This window comes from Homo sapiens, chromosome 4, assembly GCF_000001405.40.
Source record: "Homo sapiens chromosome 4, GRCh38.p14 Primary Assembly".
Taxonomy (NCBI): Eukaryota; Metazoa; Chordata; class Mammalia; order Primates; family Hominidae; genus Homo; species Homo sapiens.
The window spans coordinates 41,083,626-41,107,972 of NC_000004.12; the positions used below are offsets into that span (position 1 = coordinate 41,083,626).

Consider the following 24,347-nt stretch of genomic DNA (forward strand, 5'->3'; position numbering starts at 1 on the left):
TGCAGTGAGCTGAGATCACGCCACTGCACTCCAGCCTGGAGACAGATTGAGACTCTGTCTCAAAAAAAAAAAAAAAAAAAAAAAAAAAAGTTTCATTGCCATTTATAGGTCCTGTTGTAAAGGTAGAAGTTTCACAGTAAGTTTCTAACAGTAATTATTACAGTGATCATTAACAGTAACTTATTTCATCACATCTAACTGCTGTTGACTAGAAGATACACCAGTATTTTCTGTACTAAGAATAAAAATAAAAGTTATGTTACATTCATAGGCCTTAAAAAATAATAAAAATTAAAATGCTGTGAATCATAGCTGCAAAATGTCAGTGATTGCAAGATATATCAAATTTTAAAGATATTAAAATGTGAAAAGATCTGTGTCTTAGAATCAATAAAATATGTATTATAAAGCTGCAATATAAAAATATTTTATTGGTAAAAAAAGTGATCATTAATAGTGACTAGATAACAAACTAATAAATCTATGAAAACTTTGATAGAAATCTCTTAAAGAAATAGGCTGGGCACGGTGGCTCACGCCTGTAATCCCAACACTTCAGAAGGCCGAGACAGGCGGATCACCTGAGGTCGGGAGTTTGAGACCAGCCTGGCCAACATGAAGAAACCCTGTTTCTACTGAAAATACAAAATTAACCAGGCATGGTGGCACATGCCTGTAATCCCAGCTAATTAGGAGGCTGAAGCAGGAGACTTGCTTGAACCCAGGTGGCAGAGGTTGCAGTGAGCAGAGATCACACCATTGCATTCCAGCCTGGGCAACAAGAGTGAAACTCAGTCTCAAAAAAAGAAAAAGAAAAAAAAAGAAATGGCTTGATTCGCAAATGTAAGTTTTAAGTAAGAATTTCGATAATAAAATACACAAGACATTGCACTACAGAGGACAAGTGTTCATCATGCCCCTGAGATAAAATGTTTCTGGTCCAAAAGAATTGAGTAAATGAATTATCAAAAAGAAATTAAATTGCTTGCTTTGACAGCACATATACTAAAATCAGAATAATACAGAGAAGATTAGCATGGTCCCTGCACAAGGATGACATGCAAATTTGTGAAGTATTCCATATTTTTAATCAGTACACATACATATATCAAAGAATTATGTTGTACTCCTTGAATACATACAACTTTTGTTAATTTTTTTTTTTAAAAAGAAAACATAACTAGAAAATTCTTGATTTCTGAGGAGCAGGGAAGAAATGAAGGAAGGGAGGGAGAAATTAAAGTAAGCCAAGAAGCCTGAACGAGATTCTCAGCTTCAGTATAAGTAAGTCATTAAATGATTTGTTTGAGTGGCATTTCCTTGAAAATAAGACTGAGACTGCCGGCCACGCACAGTGGCTCATGCCTGTAATCCCAGCACTTTGGGAGGCCAAGGCAGGTGGATCACAAGGTCAGGAGATCGAGACCATTCTGGCTAACACAGTGAAACTCCATCTCTACTAAAAATACAAAAAAATTAGCTGGGCGTGGTGATGCGCGCCTGTAGTCCCAGCTACTTGGGAGGCTGAGGCAGAAGAATGGTGTGAACCCGGGAGGTGGAGCTTGCAGTGAGCCAAAATTGCACCACTGCACTCCAGCCTGGGTGACAGAGTGAGACTCTGTCTCAAAAAAAAAAAAAAAAAAAGACTGAAACTGCCTATGGCACATAATCTCAGAGAAGGTCACTCACTGAATTACAATAACATCAAAACTTTTACATGGGGGTATAGGGTATAGAGAGATAATGAATCTACATGTTGAATGGAACATCACTGATTCAGAAAATCAGAATTAAAATTTGAAATTTTCAGACCACTGGTCCTCTAAGCTTTCATCCCTAAGTTCACTCTTTGGCTTTTCATTTAATATAATAATGACAATTAATTAATCTCACCTAAATTTTTAGCAGTTCAGCATGAAGAAAACATAAGGAAACTTTCCAGTTGGTTATCAAATCATGGACACTACCTTAACTATCCACAAGAGAGTAACCACAATAATGCAACAAATAATAAGAACAAACTACAATGAGTAGTGAGACAAAGGCACTACCCAAGGAACAAAAAATGGCAGAGACATTCAAGTTCATTATTTTAAAGTGCTGACTATTTAAACCCTTCATGCATCTACATATGTAAGGCAAAGGTGCCTTTTTCATTGCCAAACTACAAAAACAAAAAAAAAGAAGTCTAATACTGAAATAATCTATAATGATTTGTATAATAATAAGTTATAAATGAAAGTCATAAAAGCCAACCTCCAAGAAAAATCAACAAAACCAAGAGGTGGTTCTTTGAAAAGACTGACAAAATTGACATTCCTTTAGGTAGACTGACTAAGAAAAAGAAGACTAACTAAAATCAGAAGTGAAAAAGGGGACATTACCACTGTTTCTACAGCAATCAAAAGGATTATAGGAGTATAATTACCAAAAAATTAGATAACCTATATGAAAAGAACAAATTCCTAAACACAAAACTTACCAAAACTGAATCATGAAGAAATGAAAAACTTGAACACAGACCTATAACCAGCAGAGACATTGATTAGTAATCAAAAACCTCCCAACAAAGAAAACCCAAAGAGTAGACAGCTTCACAGCCGAATTCTATCAAATGTTTAAAGAAGAATTAACATCAATCCTCAACTCCTCCAAAGAAATGAAGAAGGAACACTTTTAAACTCCTATCAGACCAGCATTACCCTGATACCAAAGAAAAACAATTACGCTTTAAAAATAAGAAAACTACAAGCCATTATTTCTTATGAAAATTGATGCAAAAATCATTAGCAGAAGACTACTAAACCAAATTCAACAGCTTATTGAAAGGATTATACACCATGATCAAGTGGGACTTATCTCTGGAATGCAAGGATAGTTCAACATATGAAAATTGATCAATGAAATGCACCATGTTAACAGAACAAAGAGGAAAAAACACATCATCATCTCATTTGATACAAAAAGAGCATTTGACAAAATTCAGCAAACTTTCATGATAAAAAACATTCAACGAATTAGGAACAGAAGGAAACTATCTCAGCATAATAAAGGTCATATATGAAAAGCCCACAGCTAATAGCATACTCAATGGTAAATGACTGAAAGCTTTTCCTGTAAGATCAAGAGGAAGAAAAGAATGTCCACTTTCACCACTTCTTATCAACATAGTAGTAGAAGTCCTAGCCAGAGCAACTTGGCTAAAAAAAAAATTCACCTAAATTGGAAAGGAAACAGTAAAATTATCTTTGTTTGCAGATGACATAATCTCATGGGTAGAAAACCTTAAAAATTCCACACACACACACACACACACACACACACAAAAAACCTGTCAGAATAAGATAAAAGTCAAATAAATGGAAAAGGCTGGGCATGGTGGCATGTATCTATAGTCTTAGCTACTCAGGACGCTGAGGCGGGAGGATCACTTGAGCCCAGGAGTTCAAAGCTATAGAGAATTGTGATCACACCACTGCACTCCAGTCTGGGAGACAGACTGAGGCCCTTTCTCTAAAAAATAAATAAATAAATATTGATTACATAAAAATGAATGGAAAGACATCCTGTGTTCACAGATTAGAACACTTAGTATCATTAAGTCATCTATACTACTTAAAGCAATGCAATTCCTATTAAAACCCCAATGATGTTTTCTGTAGAAACGGAAAAATCAGCATTTATTCTCTTTTAAAATATACCTTAAAAGTTACCAACAATCACCTGTATTTAATCTATAAAGTATATTCAACATCACAAATCAGAAGCAATTAAATCTATTCAGATACAGAGGAACCAATACATATTTTTTTCTTTTCTTTTGAGATGGAGTCTTGCTCTCTCACCCAGACTGGAGTACAGTGGCACAATCTTAGCTCACTGCAACCTCCACCTCCCAGGTGAAGTGATCCTTCCAACTCAGCCTCCCACATTGCTGGGATTACAAGCATGCATCACCATGACTGGCTAATTTTTTTTTTTTTTAGTAGAGATGGGGTTTCACCATGACGGCCAGTTGGTCTTAAACTCCTGACTTCAAGTGATCTTCCCGCCTCAGCCTCCCATAGTGCTGGGATTACAGGTGTGAGCCACTGTGGCCAGCCAGAATCCAGTATTTTAAACAAAGCGGTATCATCACTAATATTCAGGCCTACAGTGGGACATTTTACATAAGACAATCACAGGGGAGACTTGTTGAGCTTATCATAATCATCAGAAAACAATTCTGCCATTGTATTTCAAAAGCATACCAAGACAGCGGTATAATACCAAATAATGGGGGGATAGCCTTTTCCAGCAATAGATGCGTGGGCCTCCACAAAACAGCCGCAGTCACAAACCAAGTCGGTGTTAAGAATGGTAACCGTCACCTTCAGATACAGACAAGCTGAATCTATTCAAAACTTGTATGAGGTACTTTTAGGAGTTATTATAGATATATAGAATTCGTGATTGACAAGGACCTTAAAAATCATGTTACATGTGAAACCATTTAATGGATAAGAAAATGAGAACTGCAGAAGAGGTACTTGATGTCTCCAAGGTCACATAAGGAGGTGGTACAACCATGATTGTAAACTCAGGCTTCCTGTGTTCCTCTATCTTCTCTAATCGAACTCCTGAGCTAAAGGTCAGGAGTATTACCTTAGTCTGTTGGTGAAAAGGTCACCACAAAGTGGTTTCTCAAAGACTCTTGACCACATCAATATACACCCACTATGGTTTATCAACTCACCCCTGCCCTAGCAAAGGAACTTCCTAGGATTATATGGGGAGCTTCTGTACTGATACTAGACTTTTTGACAGCTGTGGCTATTGCCATCGCAGCCCTGTGGAAAGGGGTTAGGATCTGCGCTGTGAGAGGTGGATTTCCCATTTTCAATTATCCTGGGAAGAAGCAGATCCTGAGATAAGAAATGGAAACTAGCAAGGAAAGACTTGGGAGAAGGAAGGAGGAAACCCTCCCTCTTCCAGGGCCTCATCCTCTTTGATGCTTAGATTCTATATCTAGCTGTGCTGACAGTCACTTCTGAAGTAGGGATTGGATGGTCTAAACCAGAGAGGCAGCCTGGTAGAGGGCCCAGTGAGGAATGGGTCTAGGCCTGCCATAACTAGCAGGTTTTGTTTTATTTTTAAGTCATAAACTCAACTTCTATCTTCTCTAGGGAATTAAGGACATGTTTCCAGATGAGGGATGGAAAGGAAAATGGGAAAGCAGAGTCCCCAAAGAGCTGGTCCCCACAGTGCTGGCAGCAATGCTTAGCAGGGTGTGCAATGAAAATGGGAATCTTTGAGACAGCTATCAAGGCATGATGTCCAGACTCACCTCACCATATGAAAATGGTTTCTCTTCCAGATCATCTCAGAGAAAGGGGCATTAATTTTTTTTTCTAGGTAACAAAGCTGAGAGAAGGGGCATTAATTTAACTAAGAGATCCAGTGGGTTTCCTTGCAAACCATCGCAGGTTAAACACAGATTTCTGGACATTGACAACCGAGGCTGATATCCAGTGGGTGGGTGTCAGGATGACCATCCAGAACATCTACAGTCAGCATCCTTCTGATTGGCCAGAAACTGCTCACTAACTATAGGCTAAATATTCCTTACCCAAAATGCTTGGGAAGAGAAGGGTTTTGAACTTCAGATTTTTGGGATTTTGGAATATTTGCATTATATAATTACCAGTTAATCATCCCTAATCTGAAAATCTGAAATCCAAAATGCTCCAATGAACATTTCCTTTGAGCATCATGTTAGCACTCAAAAAGTGTCAGATATCTATTTTCGTATTTTGGACTTCGGTTTTTTTAGGGAAGCTCAACCTATGTTTTGAGTCTCACCCTTCAACAATCACACATTTTTTCCATCCTCAGTATCTGGTATTAACTCCTGAGCCTGGGAGAACACCAACCTTTGTGTTATACACTTCATGTTTATCCTAGATTCAGGAGTTAACAAAAATTCTATTAATAAGCTAAGCAGCAGATATTAGTATTCCCATTTTATAGGCTAGAAAGTTGTGGCTCAAAGAAAAAACTCATTCACAGATAGCCAGTGGAAGAGTCAAAATTTAATTCAAAGATAAACAGAATTTCCAGATTACATAATATCAGTCCCTCTACTCTGTAAATCTACCCTACTTTAAGAGATAATACTGCAGGGTACAAGTCACTATGGGATCTGAAGGTAACTGCATCACTATTTCATAAAATATTGATATGGAAAAGAGTGGTCATAAGCATGTTTTGATCCTACGCCCATGTCTCCTACTGCAATTATTGTCAAGCATTACCTGAACACCGAAAGCTTTTATTTTACATATATTTATATAACGAAACACTAGCTTGTTTCTTCAAATCCATGTATATGAACTATAATGGCAATTTAACCCTACTTATTAAGTAAAAAAACCCAAACATAAATTATATGGTGTCCCATTGAGTCCCTATATGAATATCTCCTTTGATTAAAACACCACCATTTTCATCAGAAGACATAATTTAAAAGAAGATTTAAGGGAAAAATTTGAATTTAACATTTCCCCTCCAGTCGTTTCTATAAACCTCTGACAGAATCTTTCTTCTAAGAAGTTATATTCTTTTACTTTCTACTTAAGAAATAAATGAAAATGCATCTGAATTAAATTACCACTGCAATGGAAACACTGAAACTCTAAATCAAAACAAGCTATGGTAAGATTTTCTCGAAGGATGCTAGATTCCCTAAACACTACCCATCATCATGGCAACCTTTAAGTGCCCTCTCTCCTATGGGTATGCCAACAACTGGTTGTAATAAAAGTTCGTTTTGTTGAAATCAATTAATTTCTCTCTACAGTACATTTGAGCCTTTTCAGCTACTGCTCATTTTTTCCTTTTTCTACTTATAAGACATCAGACACTAGTCTGCTATGTAATATTACTGATACTACATCCACATTTAGTTCATCAAAGCAGTCTGAATGCTGTAAAGATTTTTTAAAAAGATATAGAATGCTACAACATTCCTTTATTAGTAGGGTGGTTATTTAATTTATGATCGAAACCAGGACATTTTTGATATTGAAAGGGGTCAGTATCAAAAATTTTGCCAGAACAGCAGGCATAGCTAGGATTGTCCCAGCAAGTTAGTATGTATGGTCACCTAACTTATTAAAGAAACAATTACTGCATATAACAGCTGAAAGTCTCAAAAAATGAAATAAAGACCACAGTGGGGAAGAAGGCATAGAGGGCTCATATGTGAGCAGAAAGTCAGAAGAGTCAGAAGTCAAAGGAAGACTGCAGTCTCTCTCAAGCACCAAAACCTAATGTCATTTCCAGACTACCTAGACACTGCTCTTCCTCTCCTGGTTACTGCAATAGTCTGTAAGTGTGAATTAAGTCCATGATATGCCATGTGATCTGATCCCCTGGTGTATTTGTCGGCTTATTTTATTGTCACCCTCACACTCTCCCTAGATACCATCTGAACTCATCCCCCATCTATGAGGTTCCTCTCCCCTTGCTTTGGTATTTTATTTCCCATCACTGAGCCAACCAATCAGAGTTGTACTAGGCACTCTGCTATCTTCTCCGGAAAAAGGGGTACCCAAAGCTGAGTTAGATATAGTCCTTGCGAGGTAATTGTCCACAATTTTTGTTTGCAAGACTTTGTTTAAAATGCAATACAGTTTTTGCTCCAACCTCCACTTCTGCACGTCCAAAGCAGCCCAAACAAGGAGTGCAGCTACAAAGTATGCTAGCGAAGTCACCCCCCGTTTATTTGCAGATACTTTTGTATACATAATGAAGCAAAAGAATAAAAAAGTAAGTAATTTTTGTGAAGATGTCAACATTTTTACATCTTGAAAAACTTCATAAAAGCTCTCCCAAACAAGACACTGTGGCCTTTTAGGGGAGCAACATATCATATACTCTTTCTTGCATCCCTACTTCCTTCTTGAAGTTGGTGAGGGATTGATTGTGTCTTTCCCATCACTGAATCACCAACACCTTGCAGAGTTATCTAGCACAACACAGGCAGTCCATAAATATCTGCGGAGTAAATGAATGAATGAGGGGCTCATGATTATTTCTTTCTTCCACAACACTGTGATTATATATTAAGTACTTTTTTCTTAATCCCAGCTCCTCAAGATCTTTGCTCCATTGATTATGTCCTCTTAAAAGGCAGCCCCTATATAGTAACAGGTTTGAGGTCAGCAAAAAAATCCAACCAAATACCCAGGAACTTAACAGCAAGGTAAGTAACCTTGAGCAAGTTTTCTAACCACTCTCTATGCTCTATTTTTTCTTATCTATAAAATAGACATGTTTTGCAAGGTTTTCTGGTATTTGTGAGATCTGAACACAATTTATGTAAAGGGCCAGGCAGGAATCCAATAAATGTTGAATAAAAGAATAAATTGCCATTCTCTTCTATGGTCCAGATCAAAATGCAGCCATCAAAATCTAATTTGCCAAAGCTGATCTTCATTCAAACAACAGACATGCATCAAGGGCTGTAAGGCACAACTAGAGTCTGTCTGCTGTTGAACATCAAAGGAGGAGTTTAACATCTGCTTTTAAATGCAGGAAAACAATAATTAGTTCACAAGTAAAAGGAAAAGTTATATAATCTGATCTTATTTGCTTTACCAAAGTATCAAAGTATTAAGGGATTACCAGCTTACAGCAGACTGAAGCTTTCTTGCAGGAATCACATAATGGGTGGAGGCAAACCTGGAAGTGGGTTTTTAAAGTCGGCATTCCTAGCTCCTGCTTTTCACTGTCAAGAATGCAGGAGCCAAGTTTGCCCTTAGTTTAAAGCGCAGAACTAAGCAGCTACAGACAACAAGAGTAAGATTTGGTCTGAGTCTGAGACCAGCCTGGCCAACATAGTGAAACCTCGTCTCCACTAAAAATACAAAAATTAGCCAGGCATGGTGGCGCGTGTGTGTACTCGCAGCTACTCGGGAGGCTGAGGCAGGAGAATCGCTTGAACCCGAGAGGCGGAGGTTGTGGTGAGCCGAGATTGCACCACTGCACTCCAGCCTGGGCAACAGAGTGAGACTCCGTCTCAAAAAAAAAAAAAAAAAGTACTTGGTCTGAATAGAGTTTTCATTCAACTGTGCTTGCTCTTACAGCAATCTAAGATGTAAAACTTCAAAAGAGAAAAATATCACCGGCCTCTGTTCAACTTTAAATTCATGAAAGAAAATATGAAACTCTGCTGTGGGAATACATTTGTTTTTGCTGTACAACAATGTTTTAAGAGATCCATTCTGCTGCTGTTTCACCCTCTCCTTCAGGCCAAGCAGAGGCCAATGGGGATAAAGAGCTCCCCTGTGTTCTATTTCCAGAACACCTGAACTTACTGTCGACTGAGGCTACGAGAGCTATTTAGAGGCCCTTACCTTCCTCTTTTCCAGTAACATCAGCAGAAACGAGCTATAAAACTTTCCCTAGGGTTTGGTTTCCTTTCTCACAGCTCAGTTGTGCTGCTCTCCTGGAAGATGAAAGAAACCCCAGAGTTTTTCAAAGCCCAGATGAAATGTTGATCTCAAGTAATAATTTCCATTTTCTTAAAAGCCATCATTTCCTATTTTACTCAGGCACACAGAGCATGAAGCAAAGCCTAAACTACCTCCTTAGGGCTCATGAGAGTAGATGCAGTCAGTAGTTACAAGAGCACGTGAACTCTGCTTTAAAAACAGCAAAGGGTCATCCTGAGATAAACATAGGCTATAACGCTGAAGTGCTAAATTCTGTCCTACAAGTTCACAATTTTGGCTTCCTTTTAAGGGTATCTGAGCAAAAAGTGGCTTCCAAGTGGATAAGGATTTTTTTTTTCCCTAAGTTCCTAATGAACCAGGTACATGAACCTATGATCACAACCTGTTTTCTTACCCATCCTCATTTCCCAGATTTTTTTCTTGCCAAGGGTTAAAAAGTTCGTAAGAAGGGCCGGGCGCGGTGGCTCATGCCTGTAATCCCAGCACTTTGGGAGGCCAAGGAGTGCAGATCACCTGAGTTCAGGAGTTCAAGACTACCCTGACCAACATGGAGAAACCCCCACTTCTACTAAAAATACAAAATTAGCTGGGCGTGGTGGCGCACGCCTGTAATCCCAGCTACTTGGGAGCCTGAGGCGGAAGAATCGCTTGAATCTGGGAGGTGGAGGTTGCGGTGAGCCAAGATTGTGCCATTGCACTCCAGCCTGGGCAACAAGAGCGAAACTTCATCTCAAAAAAAAAAAAAAAAGTTCATAAGCAGAAGAGATGGAATCCAAACCTATACAGTCAGTCTGACTCCAGGGCATCTGACAGTCACTTGCCCTTAACTGTCACTTTGTTGTCTAAATCTGACTCCAGCAGGCACCAAACAAGAGTGACTGTCAGCTATGTGAGGTAATCCATATGTTAATTCGCTTAATTTAGGATTGACACAATGTATACATATTTCAAAACATCATGTTGTATACTATAAATGTATACAATTTTTATTTGTCAATAAAAATAAGAAGAAGAAAAAAACAAGTGACCATTGGCCCAAGGGGCTCCACATGAGTTTAGAGACTGAGGTCCTTACTAATATGAGTGACAATGTAATATTTTTTATGAACTCAAAAATATCATTTATGACATTGGAGTTTTATACCTGCTGCAGCAATGAAGCAGCAAGCATAGCTTTATAGCCTCCAAAAAGGGCTTGCAAGAAGTACACTTTACTCTTCGCTTCAGTCTTTGACAGCAAGTCACAAATTATTTTTCAGATAAAATGGCAATTAGGAATTTCTTGAAACTTTAACCATCAGTCCAAACACCAAACTAACATCCAAGAAGCCCTTTTTAAGTTCTACTGGACTTTAACTGTATAACTGCAACTGAAGCTTTACCTATAGAATGAAAAATTATTTAACTTTAGAAGACAGAAGGAATCTTAGAGATTATTAATTCTATCAGCCACTTTTTTTAAGAGGGAGTCTCCCTTTGTCACCCAGGCTGGAGAGCAGTGGTGCGATCTTGGCTCACCACAACCTCTGTCTCCCGGGTTCAAGCGATTCTCCTGCCTCAGCATCCCGAGTAGCTGGGATTACAGGCACATGCCACCTCGCCCAGCTAATTTTTGTATTTTTAGTAGAGACGGGGTTTCGCTATGTTGGCTAGGCTGGACTCGAACTCCTAACCTCAAGTGACCTGCCTGCTTTGGCCTCCCAAAGTGCTGGGATTATAGGGATGAGCCACCGCACCCAGCCTCTGTCAACCACATTTTATTGAGTGTTATCTGCCATATTTTATTAAGCAAGGTGCTACGAAAGACAAAAAAATTCATGAGACCTGACCCCAGCCCTCGGGATCTTATAGTATAGCAAATTAAATAAAATGTTACATAAATATGATCAATTCAAGTTAAAAACAACACAGGATGCAAGGAGGATATTAAAGGAGTGAAACAGAAAAGATCACTTATAAATGTGGCAAAATGGTTAAGAGCATAAACATGACAGTTACAGTGGTGGGTTCAAGTAGTGACAATGCCACTCCTTGGCTGTGTGACATTGGACAAGTTATTTTACCTGCCAGGGGCTCAGTTTCAAAATCTTGAAAATGGGGTAATAACATCCACTGCTGAAAGCAGATATAAGATTAAATAAAATAAAACAGGCAAAGTTCTTAGTACAGTTCCCAGCACACTCTCAGGGCTAAACAACAGCTAGCAGCAGCCTGCAGTCCCAGATCTATCATTTCTCCATCTCTCATATTTCACCCCTTCTCTTAACTGGTCTGTCCAGGGCCCTGTCAGAACCTATTATTAACTCTCCTTTAAAGATGAGGAAATAGGCTTTCAGAGGACAGGGAACGAGCCCATTGACATACAGCCAATAGCTTAGTATGCCCACCTCCAGACTCTTAGGCCCTAGGGGACACTGTTTCATCTTATCTAATCATACCTATTACTTTTAAAACAATTAAAAGCAAGTAGATCATCCCATTGTGTAAATTATAAAAGGTGCTCTCTCTAGGCAGGCCAAGCCCCATGAGTGCACAGCTTGATGACAAGTGTGCTGGGTGGTTCTAAGTCCTCCCATCTGCTGCTCACACGTACACTTCTGCAGTGAACAATCTACACAACCTCACATGGTGGCCCTGGGTCTCCAGCCTCCAGTTTTCTCTTTTCCAGATGATATTCCACACTACTGCCCAAGTGATCTTTATAAAACTCCCATCTAGTTATTTCTCCTTTTAAAACTCTGGATGGCTATTTATTGTTTAGAAACTCCAAGTCTCTAGCATGGCACATGTGTGACCTTTCTCACTCTGGCACCTTTTCGATCTCAGGGTCCACTCTGTTCTCCACGCTCCATACCCCAGCCACGGTGGAGTTCTTGCCACTCTCTGGATATGCCATGAGTTCCCATTCCTCCATGCCTTGGCATATGCTTTTTCTACAGCCTCAATTATCTCCCTACTTTCTGTCTTCTCACTCAGCCCTCAAGTCATACTTCAGTTCCAGCTCTTCAATGCAGTGAACATACTTCCTGATTTCTCAGCTGAAATGACTGCTCGTCCTTTGCATACCTACAGCATTCTTGAATCAGCTTTCACCACCAGCTCATGGGAGTCAGGAAGATACTGCAGGGCTTTGTAGTGAGATGCATCATAATTGGAAGGCTGACTCAAACATGTTCTAACTGTATCAAGGTAGCAAGTTACTTTTCCCCCGAGTTTCAATAACGCCCACCCCTAGAATTCCTGTGGACATCAAGTGCTTAACGGTATGGCTTCCAAACTTACTTGGGCGACAGAGTCACTCTAAGGGCAAAATACCAAGAAATCTTGATAAATATATTTAATTGTATCATGTGAACTAAGAAATATTCTACTAGAAAAAAAATGATGACACTATATGCATATAGGCTTCCAAATATAAAACGTGTGTACACACACACATCCATGTTTTCAAAACCACTCTCTACATTTACCAATTAAACATTTGTAATTTGTTTAACTTTCCTTTTTCCATTTCCTAATTTAACTTAAAAAGTAGCAGCAGGTACCAAAATCATAATGGGAGAAAAAAACCTTTAAAAATTAGAAAACTATATTCCTAACTTATTTTGAAAGGTATAGGTCAATAAATATCATTATCGAATTGTAGTCATTGAACATCTTGTCTAAGAATATAACGTCCATTCCACTGCTTTTCACATGGTACATGCTACATAAAGGTTATTTAAATCTAATTTTGAAACTCAAATTAAGTTCCCTAAAAGGAAGGACATATCTCATTCATCTTTGAATAATGAGCTCCTGGCACACAATAGTTGCTCAACAAATGTTCGCTCAATAAATGAACTAAAAATTAAGAATGCACACAAAGGTTTATAAAACATTCTGGATCTCCAATTAACCTGGACTGTAGTTTGCTCCATAAATAAATTATATTCCAAAATCTATCAGTGTTCCTTCTGTAACCATCATTTCATCTGAGCTATTTGGAGTTTCTTTGGAGAAAGAAATGCGTAGGTAAAATCCTCCCTTAGGCACAGAAATATTGATTAAGACAGCTCGGCAGGAGGAATATGTCACCTGCGCTCTTGTATAATATAACAAAGGGACCAAAGAAGACACAAAGCTTTATATACAGCACCTGTCAGCCAGTGACACTTACCATTTTGAGCACATATTCAGACCCATGAGCCTCCTATTCAGAATATGTCTGGCTACAGTAAACACCATAAAGATTCTAAATGGGGAATCCTTTTCTGTTCTGTTCTCACATGAAAAACCTATGCCATATATTCCACATATTTACACTCCTTTCTAACTGAAAGCCAGGACAGCCCAAAATTAAACAAAAGGCTAAGATCCAGTTGTTTCCCTTTCACTAAAAGTGATGCTGTAGGTAAATACTTATTAGCATGGATATGCATTATTTATTATTAAGTGGAAAAAGTTACCAAAAAACTTGCTGCATACTCATTTAGGGTTGACATAAAACCAAACATGGACATGCATTAAGTAGGATAATAAAATACAAATTTTACTTCCTTTAAAACAATCCATGGCTAATTTTTTTGAAGGTACGGTTATATTTTATCACCATTATAGACTCAAGTTTCCAAAAATCTACCTCAAACAATCAATTTTCTGAATTGCTTGAAATGCTTGAAACAAGGAAGACTTTGAAGACACATGCAATTAAGAAAAAAGTGAAAGTAAAGGACAGAGGTTAAAAAGAAGTGTGGAGGTTGTCTAGGGTTCTGAATTTTCTCTAAAATTGTGTGTTTGCTTTTCCAAAAAGAAACCACCAAGACATTTAAGTATCCCTTACAGTTTTCAAAGAGCAGTCAGAAACATTTTCTTATGACTTTAATAAATATCAGAAAAGACACCTCCCCCCTCCCCTCCCGTCCCCTCCCATTAACTTCCATGTAACTTAACTAGTTCTTCAAAATCAGATTTATGTGCAGTACACTTCTGCATTATAACCTTCTCTTTTTTTAACCTTAAGGGTACATTGTAAACATCCTTCTGCGTATATAAATATTCACATGTAACATCAACTTTATTTTTACTAATTTTTTTTTTTAGAGTCAGGATCTCACTCAAGTGTCAGGCTGTAGGGCTATGGTGTGATCATAGCTCACTGCAACCTCAAACTCCTGGGCTCACGTGACCCTCCCATCTCAGCCTCTGGATTAGCTGGGACTACAGGCACTTACCACTAAGCCCAGCAACTTTTTTATTTTTTGTAGAGACAGGGTCTCTTTCGTTGTCCAGGCTAGTCTTGAGCTCTTGGGCTCAAGCAATCATCCCACCTCTGCCCCCCAAAAGTGTTGGGATTACAGGAGTGAGCCACGGCGTCTGGCCTTAACATCAAGTTTAGTACACAGAGATCTTTTTGTCACAGTCCCTGTAGTAACACAGGGCTGTCTTTAGCTTACTGTAAACACACAAGTCCCACAGATGCCTTCCCTCTATAAAATCAAAACACAACTTTTACAACAATGCTACAATGTATCCCAAAAGGGAATATTTTGGTATAATGTAAAGAAAATACTGCACTAGAGACTATGTGAAATTTTAAAGAAATGCTTATTTCTTTGAAATAAGGATTTGAAAAGGCAGCTTATTTGAAAGGCAGCTTAAGTAGCTTACTTTCTGAAGCTAAGTTACATTTGCAATCTAAACACCACTGCAAATATCTAGACCCTGAAGTCCAGAGAATCAATCATTTGACCTTTTTGTTCTATTTCTGTAGACAGATTGGGTGGCCTCCAACATAATCCTTTTTCAAATATCCTTCCAAAATGGAATAACAACTACAACACACAATTACAACATAAAATATTTCTTTTAAGATTAACATGTGATTACAAGACAATAAAATTCAACCTACAAATTTCTATTTTTTTTTTAAATTCCACTGACAATAATATTTCACTATTACAAATATTTCACTGTAACAAAAAAATATATTTTGGGTGAGATTTTCCTTACTTTCAACTAATTCATATTTTAGCAGAGACTTGACATCCCTCAGAAATTACATGTGTATGTGCAGTGTCTATGTCTGTGTGTATGTGTGTTTGTGTGTTGCACACACACGTATATGGTTTTTGTGTTTTTTTTGGGATGGAGTTTCGCTCTTGTTGCCCAGGCTGGAGTGCAGTGGCGCAATCTTGGCTCACTGCAACCTCCGCCTCCCAGGTTCAAGCAATTCTCCTGCCTCAGGCTTCCGAGTAGCTGGGATTACAGGCATGCACCACCATACCCAGCTAATTTTTTTGTATTTTTAGCAGAGATGGGGTTTCTCCATGTTGGTCAGGCTGGTCTCGAATTCCCAACCTCAGGTGATCCGTCCACCTCGGCCTCCCAAAATATTTATTTTTTCAGTACAAATATTTAACTTCAAATAAGCTTCAAAACTCAAGACCCTTACCTTATTATAATTATTACAAAATAAAACCCAATTTAATAATAATTAAATTTATAGTAAATACAATAACAACAGAGCTATAAAATCCGATCTTACTATTTAATGCTTTCATAGAACTAAAGCAAAGTTCTGTTCTGTCTTGTTTTATTTTAAACATGCTTCAACTAACTCATTTATACTGCCAGAAATAGAGTGGAGCTATAAGACACAAAGCATAGGAAGTTTAGAAAGCTATCTAGTAATTTAATGGAAGAACAATTCCTATTGTCGATAATGTTTCTGGAACATGCTAGAGAGGATATTTGTGTATGTTTCTGTGCGTGCACGTGCATATTTTATTTTGCATATATTGTTACGGGCATTTGGTCACTCATAATTCCAAGCAGTATCCATTAAAAAAACAGATCGACTTTATAGATCTGTAAGGTCCATTTTTCAAAAAGATAAGAGAATAAAACTGAATTTTCTGGTTCCAAGCAATTTTTTCTAAAAGACAGCAAAAACATTCAACAAGTGTCTCAATTAGAATGTCTTATAGTGCCCTCAAAAAAATTCTAAAATAAAACTGGGAGGTGCATCAATTCTTCCAAGACAAAGCTACATGAAGAATTTATTGGACAAGCAATTCCACATTTTGCTTTCCTTTCCAGACAAGAAAAGAACCAAGTCGATTTCATACTTATTCTAAAAATTCAGAACCAAAAAGCCTATCCAAAATATCTAAAAGTCTAAAACACCTGAAAGCTCAGACAACTGGACTCACTTTTCTGTCACATCATATTACATTGCCTTGTATTTGATGTTTAATCACTTGCAAATCTGATAAAAGTTTTGTCACAACCTTGAGGACTCAGTTTATGAAACCCAAAAGAAATGGCACAATGTAGAACATCATCTTAATCTCTTGCAAGTTTTTTTTTTTTACACAAAGAGGTTTCCTGAGTCTCCTTCCATGTTACAAATCCATGAAAACATATAAAATTTATTAAGCCAGGAATGAAAGAAAGTAAAAAGCCATGGATCTATTGTTAACTTTCTGAGAGAGGTATAACAGAATTTTTTAAAAGCAAGTTTAAAATTACTTACTTTTCCCAGGTCTTTGGTACAAAGCTCAGAAGGCAAGCTCCTTTTTTTCCCCACAAAGTCTGTTAATTAATAGCAAGCACCCAAGGAGGTCAGGCAGCCCAAAGAGATCGATCTAGAAAGTGTGTAGAGACAAAAATTTTAAATTCAAAATCATATCAGAAATGAAAAATCAAAATACCCGACTGTCATTCAGAGTATCTCTGCATCAACAAAATAACGATGTCATTGGGATCCTTAAATGATGAGAAATGTAAACTATTTTTCTTTCATAATATACTAACAAGGCTTTCTAAATCTAGATGGCAGTTCGATCTGTCGCCTTATTAAAGTTTCAAAAGCAGGAACTAGTGAGGCTTCTTGGCAACCACTCCTGTTAAAGATGTCTTTCTCAGGGAGTCACAAAAAGGAACCGAGGGAGAATCTGGACTTCTAATTATATTGTGACTTGGGAAGGAAGGTCTTCCGAAATCACACTTGCCAGTTCCCACTTCCAAACATGAGCTCATCTTATCAACACAGAAGTAGTTGTAAATAGAAGTGAATCGGCCGGGCGCGGTGGCTCACGCCTGTAATCCCAGCACTTTGGGAGGCCGAGGCGGGTGGATCATGAGGTCAGGAGATCGAGACCATCCTGGCTAACAAGGTGAAACCCCGTCTCTACTAAAAATACAAAAAATTAGCCGGGCGCGGTGGCGGGCGCCTGTAGTCCCAGCTACTTGGGAGGCTGAGGCAGGAGAATGGCGTGAACCCGGGAAGCGGAGCTTGCAGTGAGCCGAGATTGCGCCACTGCAGTCCGCAGTCCGACCTGGGCGACAGAGCGAGACTCCGTCTCAAAAAAAAAAAAAAAAAAAAAAAAAAAAAAAGAAGTGAATCACAACAACTTAAGGAAAGTTATCAACAACTTTTAAATACTCTTCAAATGTATTAAGCACACCTTAATTTCTGCAGATAAGAATGGGAAGAGAAAGCCGTGTTCATTTTTTCCTAATGAAACAGAAAATCTGACAATTCTAACCTCACTTATAACACGCTACTTCTAGGCCAGGCACGGTGGCTCACACCTATAATCCCAGCACTTTGGGAGGCCCAGGCGGGCGGATCACGACGTCAGGAGTTCAAGACTAGCCTGGCCAACATAGTGAAACCCCATCTCTATTAAAAATACAAAAAATTAGCCAGGCGTGGTGGCATGCGCCTGTAATCCCAGCTACTCAGAAGCCTGAGGCAGGAGAATCGCTTGAACCCGGGAGGCGGAAGTTGCAGTGAGCCAAGATCATGCCACTGCACTCCAGCCTGGGTGACAGTGCGAGACTCCATCTCAAAAAAAAAAAAAGAAAAGAAAAAGAAAAACATGTTACTTCCCCAACAATCGTGCAAATGGATTCTAAGGCAATAAAATCATTAATAAGATAAAATAGTTTAAGTAGGCAAAACAGATGCCATATGTAACCTATAACCTAAAGTCGGCATACCCCTCGGGCTCTCCTATTACAGGACTTCTACTAGACGTAATTCTAAGAAGCGTGATACACTCATTTACAAGCCACAGGAGACTGCAAAATCAATTAGAAAGAGGGCACAGCTACAGCAAGTAGTTGTAACTAAAAATCAGACAGAACCCTGCAAACACCATAAGCATCATTTATTACTATTGCCATTGTTACTGCCAACATTTATATACTGTTAACTCTTATGCCAGGTTCTTCTCTGTGTCTTACATGCATTAACTCTACTTCAGATAGGGACAAGCAGAATTTCACATTTCACCTATCCCCTGGGCATCACTGTATTACCATACAGCACACTCAGTTCTGCTATAACGCTTGTGTTTTTTCAAGAGAACAATTTGAGTGTAACTCGAATTTCATGTTTCTTTATGCATGATTTCACTGCAAGAATACTAGGTTATCGCAGAAGGCTGCACTTGGGCCAAAACCAGCTGCATATGGTTACACAGAATGAACACAGTCCATGCCTCAAACATCTACCGGTGACTTCGGTTTCCACCAGTGTGCTATGAGCCACACCAAGCCATATCTGGTATCCCGACTCCATCTGATTTCAGGTAATCCGTCTGCCACCACTTCACAATAACTCCTAAGTGGCAACCCTTCTAAAGCACGAGTTCACAAGCAAATGTCAGGACTTTTTCGAGTTGAAGTACCATATTTATTGCACTATTTATGTATTTAACCATTTAGTATGTGAAAAATTTGTGCAACAGTATTTATTCAGTTCCCATCCCTTTTTAATGTGTCACTGATAGTTTTTTGAGTATTGTGTCCCCAACTGCATTCCTCTCCTAAGCACTGTGAGTTTTACTGCAGGATTCTGCATAATGTGGTTTTTAAGAACACATAGATCATTTTATCAGAATTGACTACATAATAACTAGTGTTTATAAAAGATACTTGTTATTTATCCAGAAGGGGTGAAATTGTGATTTTCATATTTTGTCATTATGTTTAAGAGGACAGCAACATATTGTAATGCAATTTAAAAAAGATTGTCTTTCACAATGTTTACAATTACCAACCATAGACACTTAAGGGTCAGCTTCAGTTACATGATAAATTTATTTATGTAAGATTCCCTAAAGTTGTTAAAGGAGGTATTACAGGACCATTTTGGACAGATCAAGATGACGGTGTTATAAAGATAGATTCTTGCAGACAAGACAGCTTAACCATAATTGCTGGAAAGGACAAAATGAATGGAATTACTTTTCATTCTTAAAAACCAATAAATTAAAAAGACTCTAAATTTTCTTTTAAAGAGTTCAAGATAGGCATAAAGATATATACAAGGAATTTTTCTATTATAAGTAATACTCTTATAAATAATTTTTAAAACACAATACTCAACAATGGATAGTTTTTTAAAATCTGTAGAATATTTAATAAAAGGAGAAAATGTTCTTAAGCAGTATTGAGAAAGTAGACTATAATGTAATATACTCATCTTCCCAGTTTTGTTTATAAGAAAAAAGACTAGAAAGAAAAAAAAAGCCAACATTTGAAAAACTGCTAGTTACAAATGGTAGAATTACAACAGAGTAATTTTTACTTTCTTTATATTTTGCATTAGTGGGAACATCCTTTTTACCCCCACTTTAACGTCACATGTGAATCCAGCCAATAGAATGAAGGCTAGCCAAAAAAACAAGAACATCAGGAGCTTCCTTGTCAATCACAAGTATTAATAGGTCCAGTCATGCGGCTGGACCTCTGAAAGTGTTTTCTATCTCATAATTCAAGGACAAATACAGTCCGTCCCAATAGGGATGTTTAAAGTTTATAAACCCATTACAGAGGCCAAAATATAATTTGCTTTTACAGGCTAATACAGTCATGGATTTAGTAAAATCCAGTTGAAAGATTTTTAATTATATAATTGTATCTAAGCTGTCCTAATATCTGAAAGAAATTTCATTCTGAATAAAGAAATTGTATTCTGGATAAAGCTCCTTTCAAACAAGATCAAGATTAAACAAATACAAAGAGGGATGCATTTGGGCATGCGGATAAACTTCCAGTTTGAGGAGTTTTAAATAGCAAGTAAGAAAAGAGAGATTGGTCTTTGTAACCTCCAAAAGAACGTGGCTATATTAAAATTTTCCCAATAACAAAACTGACTTTAAATACTTGCCAAAAACAGTGACTCTTTTAGTCATGAGTGTGCTTAGTTTAATCCCACACACTGATATCACATTAAGAACTGAAGGCTGAGGATATACAGGAATCAAGGGCCAATTTGGGACAACTTGGCCACCACACATCTGAGTTCACTCACCCATGCTTGGCTAGGAGTACATTTATTTTATTTTTAATCTATTCATTTTTTTTCTTTCTAACTATTATTTTAGGTTCAGAGGCACATATGCAGGTTTGTTATCTGGATAAATTGTGTGTCGTGGGGGTTTGGTATGCAGATTATTTTGTACGCAGGTAATGAGCATAATACCCAATAGGTAGTTTTGCAATCCTCACCCTCCTCCCACCCTTGGCCCTGCCACTCTCCTCCCTCAAGTGGGTCCCAGTATCTACTGTTTCCATCTTTGTGTCCATACATACTCAATGTTTAGCTCCCACTTACAAGCGAGAATGTGTGGTATTTGGTTTTCTGTTCCTGTACTAATTCTCTTAGGATAATGGCCTCCAGCTCCATCCATGTTGCTGCAAAGGACGTGATTTAGTTCTTTTTTACGGCTGCATAGTATTCTAGTGTGTATATGTACCACATTTTCTTTCTCCAGTCCACTGTCAAGGGGCACCTGAGTTGATTCCATGTCTTTGCTATTGTGAGTAGTGCACTAGCAGCATATTTAAGTGATGTGTCCCTTTTCACTTTCAATTTAGCTTTCCTGGCATACCTGCACACCCAGTAACTACTTCATATAGGGCAGTTACTTTAATAGGACTCCCACTCTCAAGAATGTGCTGAGGATTGAAAGTCAGTGGTTGTATGTGTAGGAGAGGGTGGTAGTTTTGTTTTATAAAATTATAAAGCAGTTAACATTCAGCATACATAGCTGAATAATAACCATATCCCTGATATACAATGCATAGATGTATAGTCTATTTTTGTTTTGTTTTTTACTTCCAAAAATGCTGACACCGATGAAAAACAAAAACAAACCCTTATGTTTCAAATGTGCTTTTGTATTTTTTAGCATTTTCATATAGGTTCTCTACCAAATTACTACATGTTTTGTTTCATTTTAGCAAATAGAAAAGGCAAAATAAATATTTTAATTATGCTATTATATATAAAAATATCATGGAAGAAATATGGAGCTCCAGACAAATCAGTCAATTTAAGGTTTACAGCCTCCTCAGAGACTCTATCATTATATCAAATGCACAATGATTGTTTTGGAAATTTTGAAATTCCTGGCTTTTGTGTCCCACAAGTTGCTGCCTAAAATGCTGCGCATATGCACCTTTAATAATTAACCAAATATTGGCCAGGCGCAGTGGCTCACGCCTGTAATCCCAGCACTCTAGGAGGCCAAGGCGGGCAGATCACAAGGTCAGGAGATTGAGACCATCCTGGCTAACACAGTGAAACCCCGTCTCTACTAAAAATACAAAAAAAATTAGCCAGGTGTGGTAGCGGGCGCCTGTAGTCCCAGCTACTCAGGAGGCTGAGGCAGGAGAATGGCGTGAACCCGGGAGGCGGAGCTTGCGGTGAGCCCAGATAGCGCCACTGCACTCCAGCCTGGGCGACAGAGCGAGACCCCGTCTCAAAAAAAAAAAAAAAAGAATTAACCAACTATTATAATCAACCAGAAAATCCAGAGACTGTGTCCAATTATGAGTATTCAAAATAAAAACTATGAATCTTAATTTTTCAAAGACATGCTGAGATATACATTCACATATACATACCTTACACTGACTCTGAAAATACAGAGCAGTTAGGAACTCTTGGCATGGAAACTACACATCTTAAATTGCTTTAAGAATTAGCATATGTATAGCTCAGGGGAATAAATTATCTTACCATTAATGGATATAAAAAAGGGTAACCAATTTTCAGAGTCTACCTAGAAAACACACAGAAACTATATTCTCAGGCTCTCTAAGTCACTTCTGGGGCAGAATTCCAATGTTATCTAAGTTAATCTTTGGCACTATCTCATTTCCCTTTGTGCATTCCTCTTCAACCTCTAGCCCAAAGCCCAAAGACCTTCACTTTGGATGGCCTTCTCCCTTCATTGGTGAACATCTAAAACTCTTGATGCCACCAAGGGAATAATCTTGGGAAATGGGTGGATGAACTTAAATGATTAATGACTTTTAACTTTTTATAGATTAGGCACTTTTTTTTGTTTCTTTGTTTGTTTGTTTGTTTGAGATGGAGTCTTGCTCTGTTGCCCAGGCTGGAGTACAGTGGCGCTACCTCAGCTCACTGCAAGCTCCACCTCCCAGGTTCACGGCATTCTCCTGCCTCAGCCTCCCAAGTAGCTGGGACTACAGGCGCCCGCCACCACGCCAGGCTAATTTTTTGTATTTTTAATGGAGATGGGGTTTCACCGTGTTAGCCAGGATGGTCTCGATCTCCTGACCTCGTGATCCGCCCACCTCGGCCTTCCAAAGTGCTGGGATTACAGGAGTGAGCCACCGTGCCTGGCCTAGATTAGGTACATTTTTAAAGAAAATCCCAAGTACCTAGATCTTGGTTTCTAAATACTTTTGCTTACTGGAGAAATAGTTGGGTCTGGGCAGAGAAAGTACAAGATAAGCCCAGAACATCTTACTGTGCCAAAAAGCAAGGGAGTGCTCAAATGCTAATGCAGACATGACAAAAGGACATAGGAGGAGAAGCTTTAAAAGGGCTCCTCATAGCCAAAAGTGGGGCAGTTTGAACAAAAAAAAAAAGATGTTGACCAGGCACAGTAGCTCATGCCTATCATCTTAGCACTCTGGGAGGCCAAGGCAGGCAGATCACTTGAAGCCAGGTGTTTGAGATCAGCCTGGCCAACACAGTGAAACCCCATCTTTACAAAAAAATACAAAAATTAGCCAGGCATGGTGGCAGGTGCCTGTAGTCCCAGCTACTTGAGAGACTGAGGTGGGAGAATCTCTTGAACCTGGGAGACGGAGGTTACAGTGAGCTGAGATCACACCGCTGCACTCCAGTCTGGGCAACACAGTGAGACCCTTTCTCAAAAAAAAGAATGATGTTGATGAACTATAATACATTGGATTAAAAAAGAAACCATAAACCCACAAATATTCATTGAAAAAATAATGGGGGAAACTCTTCTTTATAAAGGATGCCAGCTAATAAATATCAAAGGGAGAGCAGAAGAAAATCCCACTTTGCAACTACCAATGCAATCACTGATTCAGTCAACAATCATTAATACATGCTAAAACCATTCTAGAAAGGGTTGTTGTAGGACAGAACACTCACACACAGTCTCAGAATATCACCCCACAGATTACCTAAGAGAAAAGGCATCTTTACAAACGGAGAGTTCTGGCAGACCAGCTCAACCAAGTGGTGCTCGGCATAATCAATTCCAGGACAATGGAACAGTAGGTATCGCCACAGTCACTATGTAGCATTTTTGCCAAACATGCTTAATCTGTATCTAATCATAAGGTAACAATCACACAAAACCAGATTGTGATACATTCTACAAAACAAAGGTATCTTTCAAGACACCAATGCCATGAACCACAAAAACAAAACAAAAACAGGGTGACTGTTTTAGATTAAAGGAAACTAAAAAGACAAAATTCAATGAATGACTGTTGACTCATCCTGGATTGGGAGGCGGGTATAAAAGACAGTATTAGGGTAACAGGTGAAATCTGAACATG

At 38.4% G+C, this 24,347-nt stretch overlaps 1 protein-coding gene and 1 pseudogene across 48 annotated transcripts in view, besides 1 other annotated feature; one reads left to right on the plus strand and one right to left on the minus strand.

The window, feature by feature from the left end:
• APBB2 (amyloid beta precursor protein binding family B member 2) overlaps positions 1-24,347 on the minus strand; it is a 404,516-nt gene that overhangs the window by 273,599 nt on the left and 106,570 nt on the right. For 42 of the 48 annotated variants that reach the window (XM_047450191.1, XM_047450181.1, XM_047450169.1 and 39 more), the window contains one exon: positions 17,014-17,125. The exons of the other annotated variants lie outside the window; for them this stretch is intronic. The gene's annotated coding sequence lies outside the window, so the exon portion shown is untranslated. The remainder of the gene's footprint in view (positions 1-17,013; positions 17,126-24,347) is intronic. 48 annotated transcript variants of the gene reach the window in all.
• RNU6-836P (RNA, U6 small nuclear 836, pseudogene) lies at positions 982-1,088 on the plus strand (annotated as a pseudogene).
• Positions 11,870-12,029: an enhancer, noted in NCBI's record as "active region_21504". NCBI's record gives its function as "activates an Ori minimal core promoter by ATAC-STARR-seq in GM12878 lymphoblastoid cells {active_cell/tissue: GM12878}" and the evidence as "EXISTENCE:reporter gene assay evidence [ECO:0000049][PMID:35858748]".